The sequence below is a fragment of the Homo sapiens genome, chromosome 4 (assembly GCF_000001405.40).
Source record: "Homo sapiens chromosome 4, GRCh38.p14 Primary Assembly".
In the NCBI taxonomy this organism is placed as follows: domain Eukaryota; kingdom Metazoa; phylum Chordata; class Mammalia; order Primates; family Hominidae; genus Homo; species Homo sapiens.
Genome location: NC_000004.12, coordinates 98,260,133 through 98,279,396, shown reverse-complemented (window position 1 = coordinate 98,279,396; position 19,264 = coordinate 98,260,133). Strand labels below are relative to the sequence as shown.

Genomic DNA, 19,264 nt, shown 5'->3' with positions numbered 1-19,264 from the left:
TAATTATCTTAAAATTTTAAAATTATATATCATTTATGTAATTCTTTTGCATATAGTTATTTTAAATGTTATAGAACTCATATATTATAAAATGCTAAGACATAATAATGTTCCTTAGAAAAAATATAGTGGCCCTATTATTATTATTTTTGTTTGTTTGTTTGTTTGTTTTTAAGACAGAGTCTTGCTCTGTCGCCCAGGCTGGAGTGCAGTGGTGCGATCTCGGCTCACTGCAAGCTCTGCCTCCTGGGTACATGCCATTCTCCTGCCTCAGCCTCCCAAGTAGCTGGGACTACAGGTGCCCACCACCATGCCCAGCTAATTTTTTTTGTATTTTTAGTAGAGACGGGGTTTCACTATGTCAGCCAGGATGATCTCGATCTCCTGACCTCATGATCCACCCGCCTTGGCCTCCCAAAGTGCTGGGATTACAGGCGTGAGCCACCGCGCCCGGCCTAGTGGCCCTATTATTATACTATGATGACTTTTTAAAATGGAATGCCATTTTTCCTAGAAAATTTATTTAATGCTGCAAGGCCAAAAATAAGGAAAGAAAAAATCCAACAGATCTTGGTTTAGGCTAGTGAAGTCCTTATGAGGTAACTGAGCTTGAAAGTTTCCATATTAAAATTTGTATTATTTCCTTATAAAATAGGCCCCCCATTTCCTTCATTTGGAATCTATTCTGTGGTTCTTAATCAATGACAATGATAATATCTTAAGGGTATATATAAAATGAGGATATAAAAGAGCTTAAGCAACTTGCTGAAGGCTATACACAGTTCATGGGAGAGCAGAGAATCTATTCCATATCTCTATGATTTCTTATATCATTCTGATTAATTAAAAATTCAGTTTAACCATGATTAGTGACTATATAGATCATAAGTAGTTAACTGTGCTCTTGACTACTTTTATGATTAAATTTTCACAATTAACTTCTTAATTTTAAAATATTAATTTTCAAAAAGTAATATAAATTCAACTTTACAGTAATTTTGAACATAATTAAATCTTTAGCAATTCAGATACCTCCAGGAACCAGATAAACAGGAGTTTTAATGAGTGAAATTTGAAGGATATAAGATAATAAGAAGTAATGAAAACTAGGGGGACCTCATACCCTGCCTAAAAGACAACTACAGATGACTGTTTAATGGGAATGCAGCCTAGGGTATTGTACATTTTTTATTTTTTTGAGATGGAGCCTTGCTCTGTCGCCCAGGTTGGAATGCGGTGGCTCTATCTTGGCTCACTACAATCTCCACCTCCCGGGTTCACGTGATTCTCATGCCTCAGCCTCCTGAGTAACTTGGTTGGACTAAAGGCTAATTTTTGTACTTTTAGTAGCCGTGTTGGCCACTCTGGTCTTGAACTCCTGGCCTCAAGTGACACATCCGCCTTGGCCTCCCAAAGTGCTGAGATTACAGGCGTAAGCCACCACTTGGCTAGAAAGCGTATTTTCATCAGAAATTTCTTAAGTGTTAACAGTTAATTCCAATTTCTAAAATCTCCTTAACAAAATCCATCTACATGGTATATTTGGCCCACAGGCTGCTGCCTGACAAACTCTATTATAAAAATTCCTATTATCACTATAGGATACTGTTGTTAAGAGTAGTAGCATGACCTAAATCTGTAGTGACTTTGTAACATCTACAAACAAGTATTTACCAAATGCCAAAAAGAAATATGAAACACTGAGTGAATAGAACTACATCACTGAATGAGATTTGAAATCTAAGTAGTAGTAGGTACCACAGAAATGAGAGGTCAGTAGAACTCAGAAGCCGTCTTAATGAGTTAGACTATGAAAAATGACTAAGAAGACAGAAGAAAACAGGCTATTCTAGAAGAAATAATATAATAACAGAATCAAAGATATACTGGTGTTATGACGAAGAATATAGGGGACAGTGAAAGGAAGATGTGTTCCAGAGAGTAATGAGAAATAAGAGGTAGCAAAGTTCCATGGATCTTGAAAGCTCAGCATGGTTTAGACTTGATATGATAGGCAATTGAAGCAATATTAGATTCTTGTATAAGAAAGTAATACAATTGATGTAGTGTCTTTTTAAAAATGTTAATCTGGTCATAGTATATAGAAAGGACTGGGGAGCAGAAAGTCTAGTATCTCAGTACTACAGGAATGAGGTGATTAGTGTCTGGATTCTGTTAGTGGAAATGTCCGAAAGGGACAACAGTTTTCCATCAACTCACTTACTTGGATGAATCCTTAGTATTAGCTTCTTCATGTTTGTGTGTGTGTTATGTATGTGTGCGCTTGCTTTTTTTCAGTAACAAATTGGAGCTAGTCTGGTATAATAAAAAGAACACTAGTATAGGAGTTGAGAGATCAACATTCTAGGCCTGACACTGCCCCTAACTAAAGGCATGAACTCAGACCTGTCTCTTGACAGGTCTTACTGATCCTCAGTTCCCTAATCTAGCCAAGTAGAGAGAGAACCATAATATCATCATTTGAGGTTCCAGATCTCACAATATTTTTCCATTTCCAAAACCAGCCATCTGAAGATTTCAGACTTAAAAATCTGGTTTCTGACTTCTTTTGAAAAGTCAAAAATGTGACTTCCTTGGGCCCACATTCTTAGGGCAAAACTCATTGAGGTTGCACAGGGAATCCCTTTCCAGGTTGGGCAAATGCTCTAGTTGCCATAGTCCCAGCATTTCCTTCTGTATCCTTAGAATGATGTCCAGTGTTAGATGCCATTCATCATGTTTTTGCTGCTGTCTTTGTTATAGCAGAGAAATGTATTTCTAAGCTGTTCTTTTTTATTCAAAGTAACAAAATGAAAGACAAAAAGAAAGACATACTTTAAGAAAAATAAGAGAAAGCCATCTTCATGGAAATAAAAAATATTCTCTTTTACTCAATATGCAAAAAAAAAAAAGGGTATGTAAAAAAAAATCACCATTTAATTACCTTTAATCAGTTACATTTGAGTTTGGGAACCCTGCTCTAGGTAATGGAAAACCGTTACAAAATATGTCTAAGGAGTAAAACAATCAGATTTACATTTTAGAAAGAGTACTTGTTATAGATGGAATGTTTGTGTCCCCTAAAAATTCATATGTTGAAATCCTACTCCCAATGTGGATGATATTAGGTGGTAGGGCCTTTGAGAGGTGATTAGGTCATTAGAGTGGAGCCCTTGTGAATGGAATTAGTGCCCTTATAAACTCAACCTCCAGAGAGCTTCCTCACTCCTTCTACCGTGTGAGGTTACATAGAAAAGATGACCTATAAACCAGGAGGCAGGCCTTGACCAGACACTGAATCTGCCAGCACCTTGATCTTGAACTTCCCAGTCACCAGAACTGTGGGAAAAAAAAATCTGTTGTTTATATGCCACCCAATATATAGTATTCTGTTACAGCAGCCCAAATGAACTCAGACAGTACTCTAGCAGCATGTAAAAACTGGTCAAGAAGAGGGATGCCAGGGGAAAGAACATCTGTTAAAAGGGTAGTGTAGTCTCAAGAAGAGGTAATAAGGGCCTAAACTTACATGTTTACAGTAAAGAGGTGGGAGGTTTAATTCAAAGTAGTAGAGTTGCTAAAACTTAGGGAACCCAATGATATTAAAAGAATGACTCCAGATTTTAGGAACAGTTGCACGGATGAATGGTGGTATCATTCACTTAGATAGGGAATTCATAGAGAGAAAAAGTCTTGTGGAAAGGTGAAGTAGTGCAGCACTACTCTATAGCAAGAATTGGCAAACTACAGCCCATTGCCTACGTAAAATTTTTGTACAGTCCACAGCCCATACATACTTTTATGTAATGGTGAAAGTAAAAGTAATGCAAAAATAATGGCTTTTACTTCTATAAATGGTTGAATAAAATTAAGGGAAAAACATATTTCATGAAATGCAAATTATATAAAATTTAAATTTCAGTGCCCATAAAATTTTATTGGAACACAACTCATTCCTTTGTGCATTGCCTATAGCTGTGTTTGCATTATGATAGCAGAGTTGAGGGGTTGTAACAGAATGATTCACTTTACACAGTTGCTGGATGCACTACAAATTGCAGTGACAGTTATGACTTGTCAAGTGCTTCAAAAACCATAGTATACTGTTATACCACATTTGATCTTCCTGTCAAAATAAGAGAAGCATGTCACACTTTTAAGGCATTTAAAGTAGTATGTGAATTGTTTTGTTATCGAGTTAGATGGCAAACCATTGTACTATACAATATACATCGATACTACCAGACTAAGCACTCATCACATTCGCAAGACAAAGGAAGTTATCATCAGAGAAATCAGGAAAATATAAAACAAAGTATCTCATCACAGCAGAATTTCCACACAGACACACACACACACACACACACACACACACACAGCTGCAAACAAATTAAGCTTCCGGGTATCTCATTTATTATCCAAGCAAGGAAATCCAGTTACCCATGGGGAGTTAATTAAATTGTATTTGGCTGTAGCCACCAATGTTTCCAGAGAAAATAAACTTGTTTAACCTTTCAGTGAGAATAACTACTGGAGATGAGGACACTGGGAGCAATACTAACATTCAACTAAAAAACAAGGCAAAAGACTTGTAGAGGTTTTCTTTGGCTCTTGATGAGCTGGCAGATATTAATGATACTGCTTAGTTTTTTCTCAAGAAGTCAATTCCAAGCTTGAAATCACGGAAGAGTTAGAGTCTATGAAGAGTCTCCATAAAATAATAATAAGCAAGAATATTTCCCAAGTTGAGAAAGCACCAATTCAGTATAACCTGAAGTGGAATCCGTTAAGATGTGTTGCAACTGATGGTGACAAAAATAAATGAAGACCAGAAAAAGGTTTAGTTGAACAAATTTACAAAGTTTGTGAAAGCATAGCTATTTAAAGCTATGGTACTTCACTCTATTATTCATCAATAGGGAAAACAATTTATCATGTATCATTGAACCAGTAGGGAAAACATTAATTTATCATGTATCACTGAACCAGTAATGTCACCAGTGAACTTCATTTATTCTCACAGATTTAACCATCATAAGTTCTGTAAATTTTGATCAGAAATGGAAACAAAATCTGGACTTGCCTTATGACACAGAAGTCTAATGGCTTAGTGGTTACAGAGTTTTATTGTGATTTTTTTGAGCTCGAGGTCACAAACGAAATTTTCTGAACAAAAAGAAATGCCTTTAACCACTACTATAGCTTTGGAAATTAAAATTTGCTGCAAATTTGACAGTTTCCTAATGAATCTGACTTAAAAGTCAAGGCAAAGCAGTGCTTACGTGAGAAAATACTGCAATAAAGTCATTTTGACAACACTGTTCCAATTACAAGTAATAATGGCTTTATATACTTCCTGTGTTGTCAAATGTTAAAATAAAAAGATCTCCCTCCATACACAAATTTGCAATAGATATATTTTGCAAGTTCAAACTATAGTTCCTGCAGTGCTTTTCAGACCTCACTGCAAGTGCAAAGGAAATTTCTATATTTCAAAATCCATTTAACCATGCAATTGAGGAGCTCCCACCTAACCTTAAATTGGAAGTGGTTAATCTGCAATGTAATTGCATACTAAATAGCAAATATCAAGAAAAGTCTTGGGAAAAAAAACAAAACAAAACAATGCTTTTTGCCAACAATTACAGCTGTACTGAGAGAATTCTATTAGTGCCTTCCATACAATGAATATGCTCATTAAGATCATATACAATTGGCAGTACTTATTTGTGTGGGGAAAAAAATGCCTCAAAGATGAAATTTGTAAAACTGCATTACAGGTCTGCATTAACAGATGAACATCTACAATAAATTCTGATAAGAGGATAACTTTGAATCTTAATAAGTGAAATGTTATCCCAAAAGAACTTTAAAATAAAAAATATAAATTAAAAAAAAAGAACTCCAGTCTTTTCATTTTTTAATCACAATAAATTGTGTTCAATTAATGTTATCATATTTCAAATGTAGTAAAAAAAATGATGGACATTTATGTTCTCTCATATATATTTTTCCCTTTTCTATTAGGCTGGCGCAACATAACTGCAGTTTTTGCATTGTTGAAATTTGCTGTTAGATGCTCGAATACATTCTTAAATAAATGTGGTTATGTTATACATCATTTTAATGCACAGTTCTCTTTACGAGTGATTTTCTTATTTCTGAGTTCAAAATGGGTCGTAAAGCAGCGGAGACAACTAGCAACATCAACAATGCACTTGGCCCAGGAACTGCTAATGAACATACAGTGCAGTGGTGGCTCAAGAAGTTTTGCAAAGGAGACGAGAGCCTAGATGAGGAGGGTAGTGGAAGATGAGAAGTCGACAATGACCAATTGAGAGCAATCATCAAAGCTGATCCTCTTACAACTACACGAGAAGTTGCCGAAGAACTCAATGTCGACCATTCTCTGGTAGTTCAGCATTTGCAGCAAATTGGAAAGGTGAAAAAGCTCGATAGGTGGGTGCCTTATGAGCTCAGCGAAAATCAGAAAAAAATCGTTGTTTTAAAGCGTTGTCTTCTCTCATCCTACGCAACAACAATGAACCATTTCTCGATCAGATTGTGACGTGCAACAAGAAGTGGATTTTATATGGCAACTGAAAAGTGGATTTTATACAACTGGAGATGACCAGTTCAGTGATTGGACCAAGAAGCTCCAAAGCACTTCCCAAAGCCAAACTTGCACCAAAAAAAGGTCATGGTCACTGTCTGGTGGTCTGCTGCTGATCCACTACAGCTTTCTGAATCCCGGTGAAACCATTAAATCTGAGAAGTATGCTCAGCAAATTGATGAGATGCACTGAAAACTGTACTGTCTGCAGCTGGCACTGGTCAACAGAAAGGGCCCAATTCTTCTCCATGACAACGTCCGACCACAGATCGCACAACCAACGCTTCAAAAGTTGAACGAACCGAGCTATGAAGTTTTGCCTCACCTGCCATATTCACTTGACCTCTCACCAACTGACTACCACTTCTTCAAGCATCTCGACAACTTTTAGGAGGGAAAATGCTTCCACAACCAGCAGGATGCAGAAAATGCTTTCCAAGTGTTTGATAAATCCCGAAGCATGGATTTTAATGCTACAGGAATAAACTTACTTCCCATTGGCAAAAATGTGTTGATTTTAATGTTCCTATTTTGATTAATAAAGATGTGTTTGCGCCTAGTAATAATTATTTAAAATGCAGAGTCTGAAACCACAATTACTTACACACTAACCCAATATGTAGTATCTTTGATTCCGCCTCATGGCCTACAAAGCCTGAAATATTTATCATCTGGTCCTTTATGGAAAAAGCTTGTCAGCCTATGCTTGATGGTGGTGCTGTTCCCAGTGTGGCATCACCTGGGAAGGTCTTGACAATGCAAATTCTCAGCCCACCCCACATCTATTGAACCAGAACTTCTGAAGGTGGGCCCAGTATTTTTTAAAAACAAGCTCTTCAAGTGATTCTATGCAAGCTGAAGTTTGAAAACCATTGCTCTAAATCAGGATGTTGGAGTGTTAGTTGTCCCCTTGGATAAATTATTTAATTCTTTGATTTAGTAAAATGGAGACAGTGTCACCTACTTCATAGAATTGTTGAAAGGATTAAAATTCAGTTTTAAAAATATGTAAAGTGTAGCATAACTCACATCAATCATTCTTAATAAATGGTAATTATGAACTCAATGGTATACAGCCCCCTATACTACCCCATGAGATATAATTATTAAATTTTCAGGATTTTTATGAGGCAGTTATTAAAACATAATTATATATACATAAATGAGTTATACTAAAACAGAAGAATTAACACTCAAAACCATCACTACTTACTTTACATTTTACTATTATATGTGCTAATGAGATTATGTCTGTATGGTGGATATGGTATATAATGATGTGCTACCTCTTATCTCTTCTCAACTCTGCATTCAGTGACACTATTTTAGCGGCTTGAAATGAGCCATGGGGGGAGTATTTACACCACAGGAAATTGACAGCCATCACAAATCAGGGCTATTTTGGAGAAAGGCGTTTAGTTAAACATTTACCAGCACCCCTCTAATTATCATTATTAAAAATTATAAAATGAGTTTTATTTTGAACTCAATGAGTTTAATTAGTAGAGATGTCTACTAATCTGCTAAATACAAAGATGTAGCCCAGATATTAATAAATATATTTCAGTACCAATAAGTACCTAAAGTCATTTTGTGAACAAAAAGGACTTTGGAATTAACAAGTACTGTTGACCCTTGAACAATGCAGGCACTAGGGGTACCAATCCCCCTCTCACTCAGTCAAAAATCCACACATAACTTTTAACTCCCTAAAACCTTAATAGCCTAATGCTGACCAGAAGCCTTACCAATAACATAAACAGTCAATTAACACATATTATGTATGTTATATGCATCATATACCATATGCATCAAATACCATATTGTTACAATAAGGTAAGCTAGAGAAAAGAAAATGGAAGGAAGAGAAAATGTATTTACTGTTCATTACATGGGAAGTGGGTCATCATAAAGGTCTTCATCCTTATTATAGTCACTCTTGAGTAGGCTGAGAAGAGGAGGGGTTCATCTAGCTGTCTCAGGTGTGGCAGAGGTGGAGGAGGTAAAAGGGGAGGCAGGAGAGGCAACTCACTTGGTATAGCTTTTATTGAAAAAAAAAAATCCACATGGAAGTGGAACTGCGCTGTTCAAATCCATGTTATTCAACGGTCAACTGTACAGCCAATCATAGCTAAGAGCTCAATTTAACCACTTCCATTTATCACTAACCTAGTCCTTGGTTTTAACTCCTGAAATGCTTCTAGTTACAAAAGCTATATAAATAGAAGCACTGAGAGAATTATTTCACCTGCAATTTGAATCCAGCATCCATATCTTAGCCAGCTTGAGAAATGTTTTTTTAGGTCATTTATTCAGACAAAGCTAAAGTTGGTTCAAACCCTTAAGTTGCTACCTCAAGTATACATTACCATTTGAACACTAAAGAAAAACAAGTTATATAGAGGTTATATTTAAGATACCAATGATATGGAGTATATTTCAAACTTCAGTTTCAAGGAATCACAGGCTTTTATAACTGAAATAGTCTTTATAACTATATGGTTTGAATGTTTTTGTCCCCTCCAAAACTCATGTTGAAACTTAAACACAACAGTACTGGAAGGTAATGGGAGGTGTTTAGGTTATGATGGCTCTGCCCTCATAAATAGATTAATGGCATTATAAAAAGAGCTTACCAGAGTGGATTTTCTCTTTTGCTTTTCTGTTGTGTGAGGGCACAAGGTTTCTCCTCTTTGGAGGACACAGCAACTAGGCCTCATCTTGAAACCAAAGACCAAACCTGCAGGCACTTTGATCTTGTAGTTACCAGACTCCAGAACTCTGATAGAATAAATTTCTGTTCTTTATATATTACCCAGTCTGCAGTATTCTGTCATAGCAGCACAAAATGGACTGAGACAATAACCTATTCTAATATATTCATTTATTATTTACATCTAGGTAAATACAGATTGAGTATCCCTTATGCAAAATGCTTTAGACCAGAAGTGTTTCAGATTTTGAAATTATTCAGATTTTGGAATACATGCATGATACTAACTGGTTTAACATCCCTAATCCAAAAATCTGAAACCAAAAATCCAAATGCTGCAATGTGCATTTCCTTTGAGTGTCATGTCAGCATTCAAAAAGTTTCAGATTTTGAAGCATTTCAGATTTTGAATTAGGGATCCTCAACCTGTATTTTTATTTTATTTTAGCTACTGAGTTGTATGAGTTCCTGATTATTTTTACGTGTTAACCCCTAATCGGATATACGGCTTGCAAATATTTCCCCTCATTATGTAAGCTGCCTTTTCATTTTGTTGTTTCCTTTGCTACAGAGAAACTTATTAATTTGATGAAGTCCCATTTGTTTATTTTTGCTTTTGTTGCCTGTGCTTTTGGTGCCATAAACAAAAAATCATTGCCAACACCAATCTTATGGAGCTTCTCTCCAGTATTTTCTTGCGCGCATCTTATGCTTTTCAAATTCAAATCTTTTGTTTAAATCTCTGACCCATTTTGAGCTGATTTTTGTATATGGGATGAATAAGGATCCAATGTCATTCTTCAGTATGTGGGTATCTAGTTTTAACAACAGTGTTTATTGAAGAGATTGTCCTGTCCCCATTGTGTTTCCTTGGCTTTTTTTTTTTTTTTTTTTTTTGAAGATCAATTGACTGTAAATTCTTGGGTTTATTTCTGGCCTCTCTATTCTGTTCCATTGATCTATGTGTCTGCTTTTATGCCAGTACCATACTGTTTTGATCACTACAGCTTTGTAACATGACTTGAAGCATGTAGTGTGATGCCCCTGGCCTTGTTCTTCTTGCTCAAGATTATTCTGGCTATTCAGATCTTTTGTGGTTCCATACAAATTTTAGAATTGTTTTGCTATTTCTGTGAAAAGTTTCACTGGAATTTTGATAGGGATTACATTGAATCTGTAGATCACTTTCAGTACTATGAACATTGTAACAATATTAATTCTTCCAATTTATGAATATGGGATATCTGTTAATTTTTCAAATTCTTTCATCAATGTCTTACAGTTTTCAGCATAGAGATCTTTCACCTTCTTGGTTAAATCTATTCCTAAATATTTTATATTTTTGCAGCTACTGTAAATAGGATTGTTTTCTTGATTACATCCTCAGAAAGTTTGCTGTTAGTGTATAGAAATGCTTCTGATTTTTCTATGCTGATTTTGTATCCTGAAACTTTACTGAATTCATTTATTAGGACTAATAGTTTTTGTCTTTTTTTTCAAGGAGTCTTTAAGGCTTTCTATGTATAAGACCATGCTATCTTTAAACAGATCATTTTACTCTCCAATTTGAATGCTTTTTAATTTCTTTTTCTTGTCTATTTGCTCTGCTAGGACTTCTAGTACTATCTTAAATAGCAGTGGCAAGAGTGGGCATCCTTGTTTTTTTTCTCAATCTGAGATAAACTTTTCAGATTTTCACCATTAAGTATGATGTTAGCTATGGGCTTGTCATATAGGACCTTTACTATGTTTAGGCATATTCATTCTACACCAAATTTGTTGAGAGTTTTAAAAATGAAAGTATGTTGAATTTTGTCAAATGCTTTTTCTGCATCAACTGAGATGATCGTATGATTTTTGTTCTTCATTCTGTTAACGTGGTGTATCACATTTATTGATTTGTGTATGTTCAACCATTCTTGCATCCCAGGGATAAATCCCACTTGATCATGACGTATGATCCTCTTAATGTGATGAGACTGCAAATCAAACCACAATGAGACACCATTTCACACCAGTCAGAATGGCTATTATTAAAAAGTAAAAACAAACAAACAAAAAACAGATGCTGTAAGGCTGTGGAGAAAAGAGAATGTTTTTACACTGTTAGTGGAAATATAAATTAGTTCAGACACTGTGGAACGCAATTTGGAGACTTCTCGACGAACTTAAAACAGAACTACCATTTGACCCAGCCATCCCATTACTGGGTATATTTCCAGAGAAAAATAAATCATGCTACCAAAAAGGCACATGCTCTTGGATCTTCATCGCAGCACTATTCACAATAACAAAGACATGAAAACAACCCAGGTGCCTATCAATAGTGGATTGGATAAAGAAAATGTGACACATATATACCATGGAATACTATGCACCCACAAAAAAGAATGAAATCATGTCCTTTGCAGCAACATGGATGGAGCTGGAGGCCACTATCCTAAGCAAATTAACATAGAAACAAGAAATCCAAATACCACATGTTCTCATTTATAAGCGGAAGCTAAGCACTGGGTGTACATATGGACATAAAGATGGGAACAACAGATACTGGGGACTACTAGAGGGGGACAAATGGAGGGAGGCAAGGGCTGAAAAACTACCCACTGGGTACCATGCACACTACCTGGGTGATGGGATTATTCATACTCCAAACCCCTGGGTGATGGGATTATTCATACTCCAAAGTGTCACATAACATGCCCATGTAAAAAACATGCACATGTACCCTCTGAACCTAAACTAAAAGTTGAAATTATTTTAAAAAAGGAACTAATACCAATCCTCCTCAAACTCTTTCCAAACAATGAAGGGAAATACTTCCAAACTCATTTAATGAGGCCAGCATTACCCTGATACCAAAGCCAGACAATGATACTACAAGAAAAGAAACTACAAGCTAATATCCTTAATAAACATAAATAGAAAAATCCTCAACAAAATACTGGCAAACTGAACTCAACATCAACATGTATTTTAAATTAAACTTTTTCCTTATCAGTTATCCAAACATTTGGCTATCTAAAATTACATCAGGTTCCCAAAGGACTGAATCTTCCTCCTTCATTCCTCCTGATGTTCATGACTGGATATTAAAATTTAGGTAATTCTGATGGCTGTTGTTAGTGCCACCAATAACTCCAGAATTGCTATGTTCAATCTCAGGTTCAATCAGGAATTTCTGGAGAGCATCCACACTATTTCCCCAAAGTCACCTAGAAATTCCAAGATTCCACTATGAAAGCAAAATCATTTTGGTTCTTAAAAAGAGTTAAGGCTATTATAATTTTTCAAATAGTAGTAGTACAGACTTCAGAATATGACTACCAAGGATAGTGAATTCAACCTTTCTCCCATATGAAAAAAGACATATACAAAACAGATATAATGCCAACATAAGAAAAATTTTTAAATTTACCAAGCTAGCATCTATGCTTTTTTGAAATCATAAATTTTAGTAATTACCAGCTTTCAAAAATATTTTATCACCCTGCCTAGACTTGCAAAGATCAGGCAAAATTAGTATTTATTATTTAGCTATGAAAACCATTCCTGGACTTGGAAATACAGGCAAAATAAAATGACTATAAGTTTGATACCTATCTACAGAGAAAACTACAACTCCAGGAATTAAAAATATAATTAGAAGCATACCTATAATCTAAAGAAGTCTCAAATTCACAAAGTCTAAGAGTAAAAGTGATAAAACCATTCATCAGTAAAGAGTATTGTTTAGGCAAAATGCCATGCAAAATTATAAAATCATTCTAGACTCACTCTGCATGACAGACATTATAAAAATAAAAATTGTACTATACTAAGTCACAAAGACATTAAAAATGAAATGTCAGAGAAATGTGAGGCACTATGGTGAAATTAAAAATTATCCTTAGACATGAAAACAGCACATGTCCTTCCATGTAAAATGTAACATTAAAATAATTTTTTTAATTTGTAAATTAAAATACATTTAAAATTTTAAAATATTTTCTAAAATGTAATATCTGTCATGCAGAGTGAGTTAAAAATATTTTTAAAAATCTATGTTTTCTCACAGATCTTTAAACAAGGTGAGAAATACAGCATGACTATACCTAGTGAACTGTTTCCACTTATTATTCACTTAGCCTTTACAACTGACCTCCATATCTACTAAACCTCTTAAAGTGGCTTTTTAGAAAAATATACTGGGTAATATCCTAACCAAAGCACTTAGAGCCTGTTCTCAGTCCCTATCACCCTCCTGACTGTTCTGAAAAAACAGACCTTATTAACTATTCACTCTTTCTTAAAACCAACCATATACCAATTCTAGTCTTTCACTCTGACTTCTGTGTTTTTCAGTGTGAAATCATACCATTCCTTTTTCCCTAACTACGGAAAACTTAAGGAACCCCATTCCTCAAGATTCTTACCATGAACAATTTTCCTCTTTTTCTTTGTTGACTCTTGTCCTCTGATCTAACTTCAAATATCACCTCAGGATATTTGTGGATAACTTCCAGATCTCTAATTCAAATTGTACTCTCGAAAGTTAAAATAAATGTTTGTCAACTATTTTTTATCTAGTTTCAGTCAGTCAACACAATTTTTCTATGTAGCTACTATGTGCCAGACACTAGTGTTAGAAATGTATTCAAATCCTAATATGACAACGTCCTTGTTATCAAGGAGCAGAGACTAAAGGACAGACCAAAAAGTCTAATGCAATAGGTCCAAAATTGAGTATCTAAGTTTCCTCTTCCTGTTAACTGAATATGTATCAGGAGATTCTCGTATCCTCATTATCACCCAGGCTAAAACCTGTGACTCTCAATTCCATACTCAATGGGTTGCCAAGTAAATCCTATTCTTTATTTGCAATATTCTATTCCCGTTGCCATAACCTGGTTCAAGCCATTAAACATTTTCGTCCAAACTCCAACAACAATCTTCTGAAGTGTTCTGTAGTTTCTCATCTAATCGATCCTGCACTCAACTGACAAATTTTCCTATACCACAGATGTGATCCATCACTTAACTACATAAAAATGTTTAGTGGTCTCTCAATAGGTAAGTCAGATTAAAATTCTTCAGCTTGGCATTTTAGATCCTACATTATCTGGTCATTAGCTATTACTGTACTACTTTTTCATGTCTGTTACCCACTATTTCCTTACCTTTTGCTCTAGCCAAACAATGCTGTTTAATCATATCCTGGAAATTCATAAAATGTTTCCTATCTATCTTCATTTATGTCATTTCTCTTCCAACCCCAGACCAACTCCATTCTGATTAACAGTCTCATTTCTACCTTTAAGAAGTTTAACCCACCTTTGGTTCAAATAACACCATTTCTCTAAAACGTTCTCTCCATTCTCTGAATCTATAATATATGTAAAGGTCTTTTATATAACTTATACTTTTACTTCTATTATAATTTGTGTATGTGTCATATTGTTCCTGCTAAGATTATAAATGTGAAACATGAATATCTTTTTATCTTTGTCCTCCCAGTACACTGTAGTACAGTACACTGCACAGTTGATATCCAACAAACACTAAATGTATGTTGAATCTGAAATATGACATATACATAAAATAGTAGCTATGGCCATAAAGTTATATAGGACTTTTCTTTCACTCTCTTGTGTAGGAAATTATTGCCATGAGAATATATATATATATTTTTTTTGAGACAGAGTTTCCCTCTTGTTGCCCAGGCTGGAGTGCAATGGCATGATCTCGGCTCACTGCAAACTCCGCCTCCCGGGTTCAAGTGATTCTCCTGCCTCAGCCTCCCAAACAGCTGGGATTACAGGCGCCCGCCACCACACCCGGCTAATTGTTTTTTTGTATTTTTAGTAGAGACAGGGTTTTACCATGTTAGTCAGGCTGGTCTCCAACTCCTGACCTCAGGTGATCCGCCCGCCTCGGCCTCCCAAAGTGCGCGCCCGGCTGAGACTATCTTTAAAAATCAACCTTATTTATTTCTTGAGACAAATTAAAAAGCACTTCTCCCTCCCCTCATCATTAACCAGTATACCTTCTACCTTCTTATGTGTACATGAATTGTTATACTAACTTCCTTGGCCCAGATATAAAACTGTTCCCCAAGGTTTCAATTTTAAATTATCATATGTACCTACTGATCATACATGAAACTGCCTTACCATTGAAGAGAGTTTAGAAGGAAACAGATTGCCTGAGGTTGACTCAAAACCAACCTACAGTGTACTGGGAGGCATGGTACAATTATACCTTTCTGTTTCTGCTTATCCCCCAACTAGATAATATGTACCAACCCAAATGTTTGTTCAGATGAAGACTATATCTTCAGGTTCAAAAGTTGAAAATAATAGGTGGCTTTAAGTTCAACAATTTGCCAAAGATTTACTGAATTTCTATTTGAAAAGCACTGTGGGGAACACAAAAAATAATAAGACACTTTTCATCTTCTGGGACTCATGATTAAATGCACAGCACACACATAAACAACTTTATTATATGGTAGATTACGTAAGTGCTAAAAAGCTTCTAACAAGGTACAAACAGTGCTTATGAAGAGACAGATTAACCAAAGAGTATCAGAGATGGCTTCAAAATGAGAGATAGGTTTCTATTTGGCCCTTTTTAAAAATCAAGCAATAGCACTCAAGATTTTGAAGATTATTTTTAAGTAGATAATTTCTTTTAGGTATTTTTATTCACCAGTGTTGTAACGGAATTGGATTTTTTCCACTGAAAAAGTACGGATTTAACATGTAAGCTAAAATGTTAAATGGATTGTTTAAGGCTCACCTGGAAACATGGGAAAATATATTTTGCAAGCCAAACTTGAACTTACAGTCCAATATCAGATAGGGTTATTGGACATACTGTATATTTCCTTTGAACATACACACACTTATCTGTGTATGTATGTTCAAAGGAATTTTATTTCAAAGTGTATTTTATCTGTGTATGTTCAAAGGGAACACACATAAACGTGTGTATGTTCGACGGAAATATACAGCTTGTCCAATAATCTGATATAATACCTATTTAAAAATCTACTTTAAGAGAAAGGCAGACACGCATAAATGGGCCACCCAATTTTTACAGAAATTTGTTCAGCATATCGAGTACTCACGTTAAAAAGAAAAAACAACTGAAAATAAAATTCAGAGCCCTAGACCTTTTTTGATTCATACCACCTCCTCCGTCAACCCTGGCCTCTTCCAGATATATGGCCAAAGGTCGGGATCAAAGCCTGAAGCATTTGCTGTTCCAGAAAACTCTATGGACACCATTCCCAGGTTTAGATACTTCTTGAAGATTCTGAGTTGCACCACCTAACTCTGAACGTGTTGAGCACTGTATTAACAGATGAAAGGACCACATTCATCTCAAGCTTTAAATAACTCGCACAGAAGGGGTGGGAAAAGTCCCAGCTGACAGATGCCAAGGGAGCAAATTTTAAAAAGAGGAAATTATGACAGACAGGAGTGGAAGCAAACTGGGGAACTTAGTACAAGTCGCTACTATTAAAAGAAACTTTGAGCTCTTAATTACATGACAGCATTCATCAGACGTTTCTGTGATTACTGAATGTAACAGTTAAGCAATAGATGATGTAAAAAAATTAGGTCAAATGTATATATCGTTTTATAAAACATATTTGCTCTTAAATCTCTCATCCAAACCAATCTCTTCAGATTAACTATAAATACAAAGGAACTAAAATCAGATTATGCAGATTAGACAGGAGGAAGCTGGGAAAGAATAACTACCATGTAAGTTCGGTAACAACGTTACAGGGCGCAGTTTCCTGCTACAGAAGACGGACGAAGGAATCCAGAAAATAGGCTGGGCACGGGAATATTGCACACTGTAGTCACCCAGCACTAATTCAACAGCTAGCGGCTCTATCCTGCCTCACGTTCCTCGTGGCCTCTGACAAGTCATCCTTTCAACCTATGAGGCTGTCCGCTCTCCCCCTTGGAAAATAATTTCCGTGCAGGTTGTAAGATCTCCCTCACAAACTACTTGCTTCCACTTCCCCGCCCGGGATGAGGAGTCTCCACGACGGGGAAAGGTCGCACTGACAGAGAAGGAAGTTACACGAAGTGGTAGTGGTCGGACCCGAGCCTCGAGCTCAGTACACGCGGGGGAAAAGGAAGCGGGCGGCCTCTGGAGAAACGGGGATGGAGCTGCAGATGCGAGCCCGCGAGGCAGGCTCCGTGGTGCCCGGGCACCGGCAGGAAGAATGGAGGAGGGGAGGCGAGGCTGCGAGGTGCCGGGGAGCCGGGCGGCGGTCCGGCCCGCGGCCGACCCCACCCCAGCCCGCGCTCGGGACCCTCCCAGCCCCGGCACCCGGCGTGCGTTCCGCGTGCGCCGACTCTCCCCGGAGGAACAGCCACCGTCTCACACCCGGGGACTGGAGAAATCCGGCAACTTTGCGCGAGAAATGCTTCCCACCCTGCAGCACGCCGAGAAAGAAAAAAATGTCAGGCGATGACGGCGGAGGAAGGATGACTTACCCATGTTGCTCCCCGAGGGTGAGGAACCGGCGGGGCGAGGCGAAGGTCTGTGGTGCGGGCGGCGCGGCTCTGTGTCCTCCCTCTACCTCCGTCTCTCCCGCAGCCAGGGAGGGACCCGCGGGGGGCGGCCGCCGGGGAGGAGCAGCTGGTGCTGCTGCAGGCGGCGCGGCCGCGGCGGGGACGAGCGGCGGGGGGCGGGGCGGGGCGGGGCGGGGCGGGACTGGCGGGCGCAGCCTGCGGCGGGCGCGGCTCCGAGCGGGCGGGCGGCGGAGGCGCGGGAGCCGGCCTGAAGAGCTCCGGCCCCGACTCGCAGCCCACGAGCGCCCCGCCCTCCCCACCGAGCATGCTCAGTGCCTTTTCCACCCCTCCCTCTGTGGCGAGCGAGGCTAAGCGTGCGGGTGGGCGTGTGTTTGCAGACCGGCTGCAGCCGCGGCAGAGGATCTTCATGGCGGCCGCCTGAGAGGCGGAGGGCGGGCCCGGAGAAAACAGGGAATGGGGATATTGAGCCCGATCTGCTAGCAGAGGACTCACCGCTGCCTTGCTTTCCCACCCTGACCCACCAACCCCTCACCCGGAACCCGGGCTTGCCTTCTTTACGGGACGACCGGGCCGCACAGGCCGGAATTAACCGGAGAAGAGGCTGGGCCGCCGCAGAGCCGGGAGGGGTGGTGGGAAGCCAGAGCTGACGAAGTTGGAAAGGACGTGTAGGCGACTAGGCCTGCGCCTCTTGGGGACACCTGAGGACGCCCGCTGGGCAGCTGGCTGAGGAGGGGCCGCCGGGAGGGCGCTCGATAGCAGGCGTGTCATTGGGACACTTAAGGCTGCTCTAGCTGTGGCCAGCTTAGAAACAAAGGTCCCGGCAGCGAGGAGAGCGCCCGCCCCAGGATTTCCTCGAAGAGTGTGTCGTTCTCCCTCCCGGAGGAGCGCGGCCTTCCGTTCCCCGGAGGGCTCTGGAAAGGCCCTTTAACCGGGGTGCCGTCGGGCTCCATCCTGCTGTGAAAGCGGGAGGAACTACGTTCCCCAGGCTTGAAAATAAGCGTCCTGCTGGGTTGGCTGCGGCACTGCCAAAGCTAACCCGGCGGAGGTCCTTTGATCCCGGGGCCACCGCCCGCTCCCACCACCACCTCGGCCTCGGGGAGAACCTGAGCAGGGCTCTCCCACTGAGGGCGTCCTCCCGACTGGGCATGCACGTGAGGCCGGGGCTGGCTTCGGTCCTCTTCCCTGGGGTAGGAGGCTGGAGGAAACCGATTTCTCTGCACCCTAATCTTGCCCTGGCTCCTCCTGAGTGGGGTGAGGAATCTGGTCGCTCTCCAAGGCTACAGCGACCGGAGTCCTTCAGGGGACACTGTGCAGTCAGCAGTACAACCTGTTGGAGAAAGATGGCTGAATCGAGGTGTCTTTCCCCTGTCAACTTTCACTCGGTCAATCCAATGTTGA

General features: G+C 38.8%; 1 protein-coding gene across 9 annotated transcripts in view, besides 5 other annotated features; it reads right to left on the bottom strand.

Moving 5' to 3' along the window:
• Positions 1 to 18,013, bottom strand: part of RAP1GDS1 (Rap1 GTPase-GDP dissociation stimulator 1) — a 182,475-nt gene extending 164,462 nt beyond the window's left edge. For all 9 annotated transcript variants that reach the window (NM_001100426.2, NM_021159.5, NM_001100428.2 and 6 more), the window contains exon 1: positions 17,828 to 18,013. In NM_001100426.2, coding sequence (NP_001093896.1) covers positions 17,828 to 17,831 — 4 coding nt within the window. In that variant the 5' untranslated portion in view covers positions 17,832 to 18,013. The remainder of the gene's footprint in view (positions 1 to 17,827) is intronic.
• Positions 17,723 to 17,792: a silencer, noted in NCBI's record as "silent region_15577". NCBI's record gives its function as "represses an Ori minimal core promoter by ATAC-STARR-seq in GM12878 lymphoblastoid cells {active_cell/tissue: GM12878}" and the evidence as "EXISTENCE:reporter gene assay evidence [ECO:0000049][PMID:35858748]".
• Positions 17,893 to 18,192: a silencer, noted in NCBI's record as "silent region_15576". NCBI's record gives its function as "represses an Ori minimal core promoter by ATAC-STARR-seq in GM12878 lymphoblastoid cells {active_cell/tissue: GM12878}" and the evidence as "EXISTENCE:reporter gene assay evidence [ECO:0000049][PMID:35858748]".
• Positions 18,159 to 18,721: an enhancer, noted in NCBI's record as "H3K27ac hESC enhancer chr4:99181827-99182389 (GRCh37/hg19 assembly coordinates)". NCBI's record gives its function as "activates a minimal SCP1, AML or CMV promoter by ChIP-STARR-seq in primed H9 embryonic stem cells {active_cell/tissue: H9 hESC(primed)}" and the evidence as "EXISTENCE:reporter gene assay evidence [ECO:0000049][PMID:30033119]".
• Positions 18,159 to 18,772: a biological region, named in NCBI's record as "H3K27ac hESC enhancer GRCh37_chr4:99181827-99182389".
• Positions 18,473 to 18,772: an enhancer, noted in NCBI's record as "active region_21733". NCBI's record gives its function as "activates an Ori minimal core promoter by ATAC-STARR-seq in GM12878 lymphoblastoid cells {active_cell/tissue: GM12878}" and the evidence as "EXISTENCE:reporter gene assay evidence [ECO:0000049][PMID:35858748]".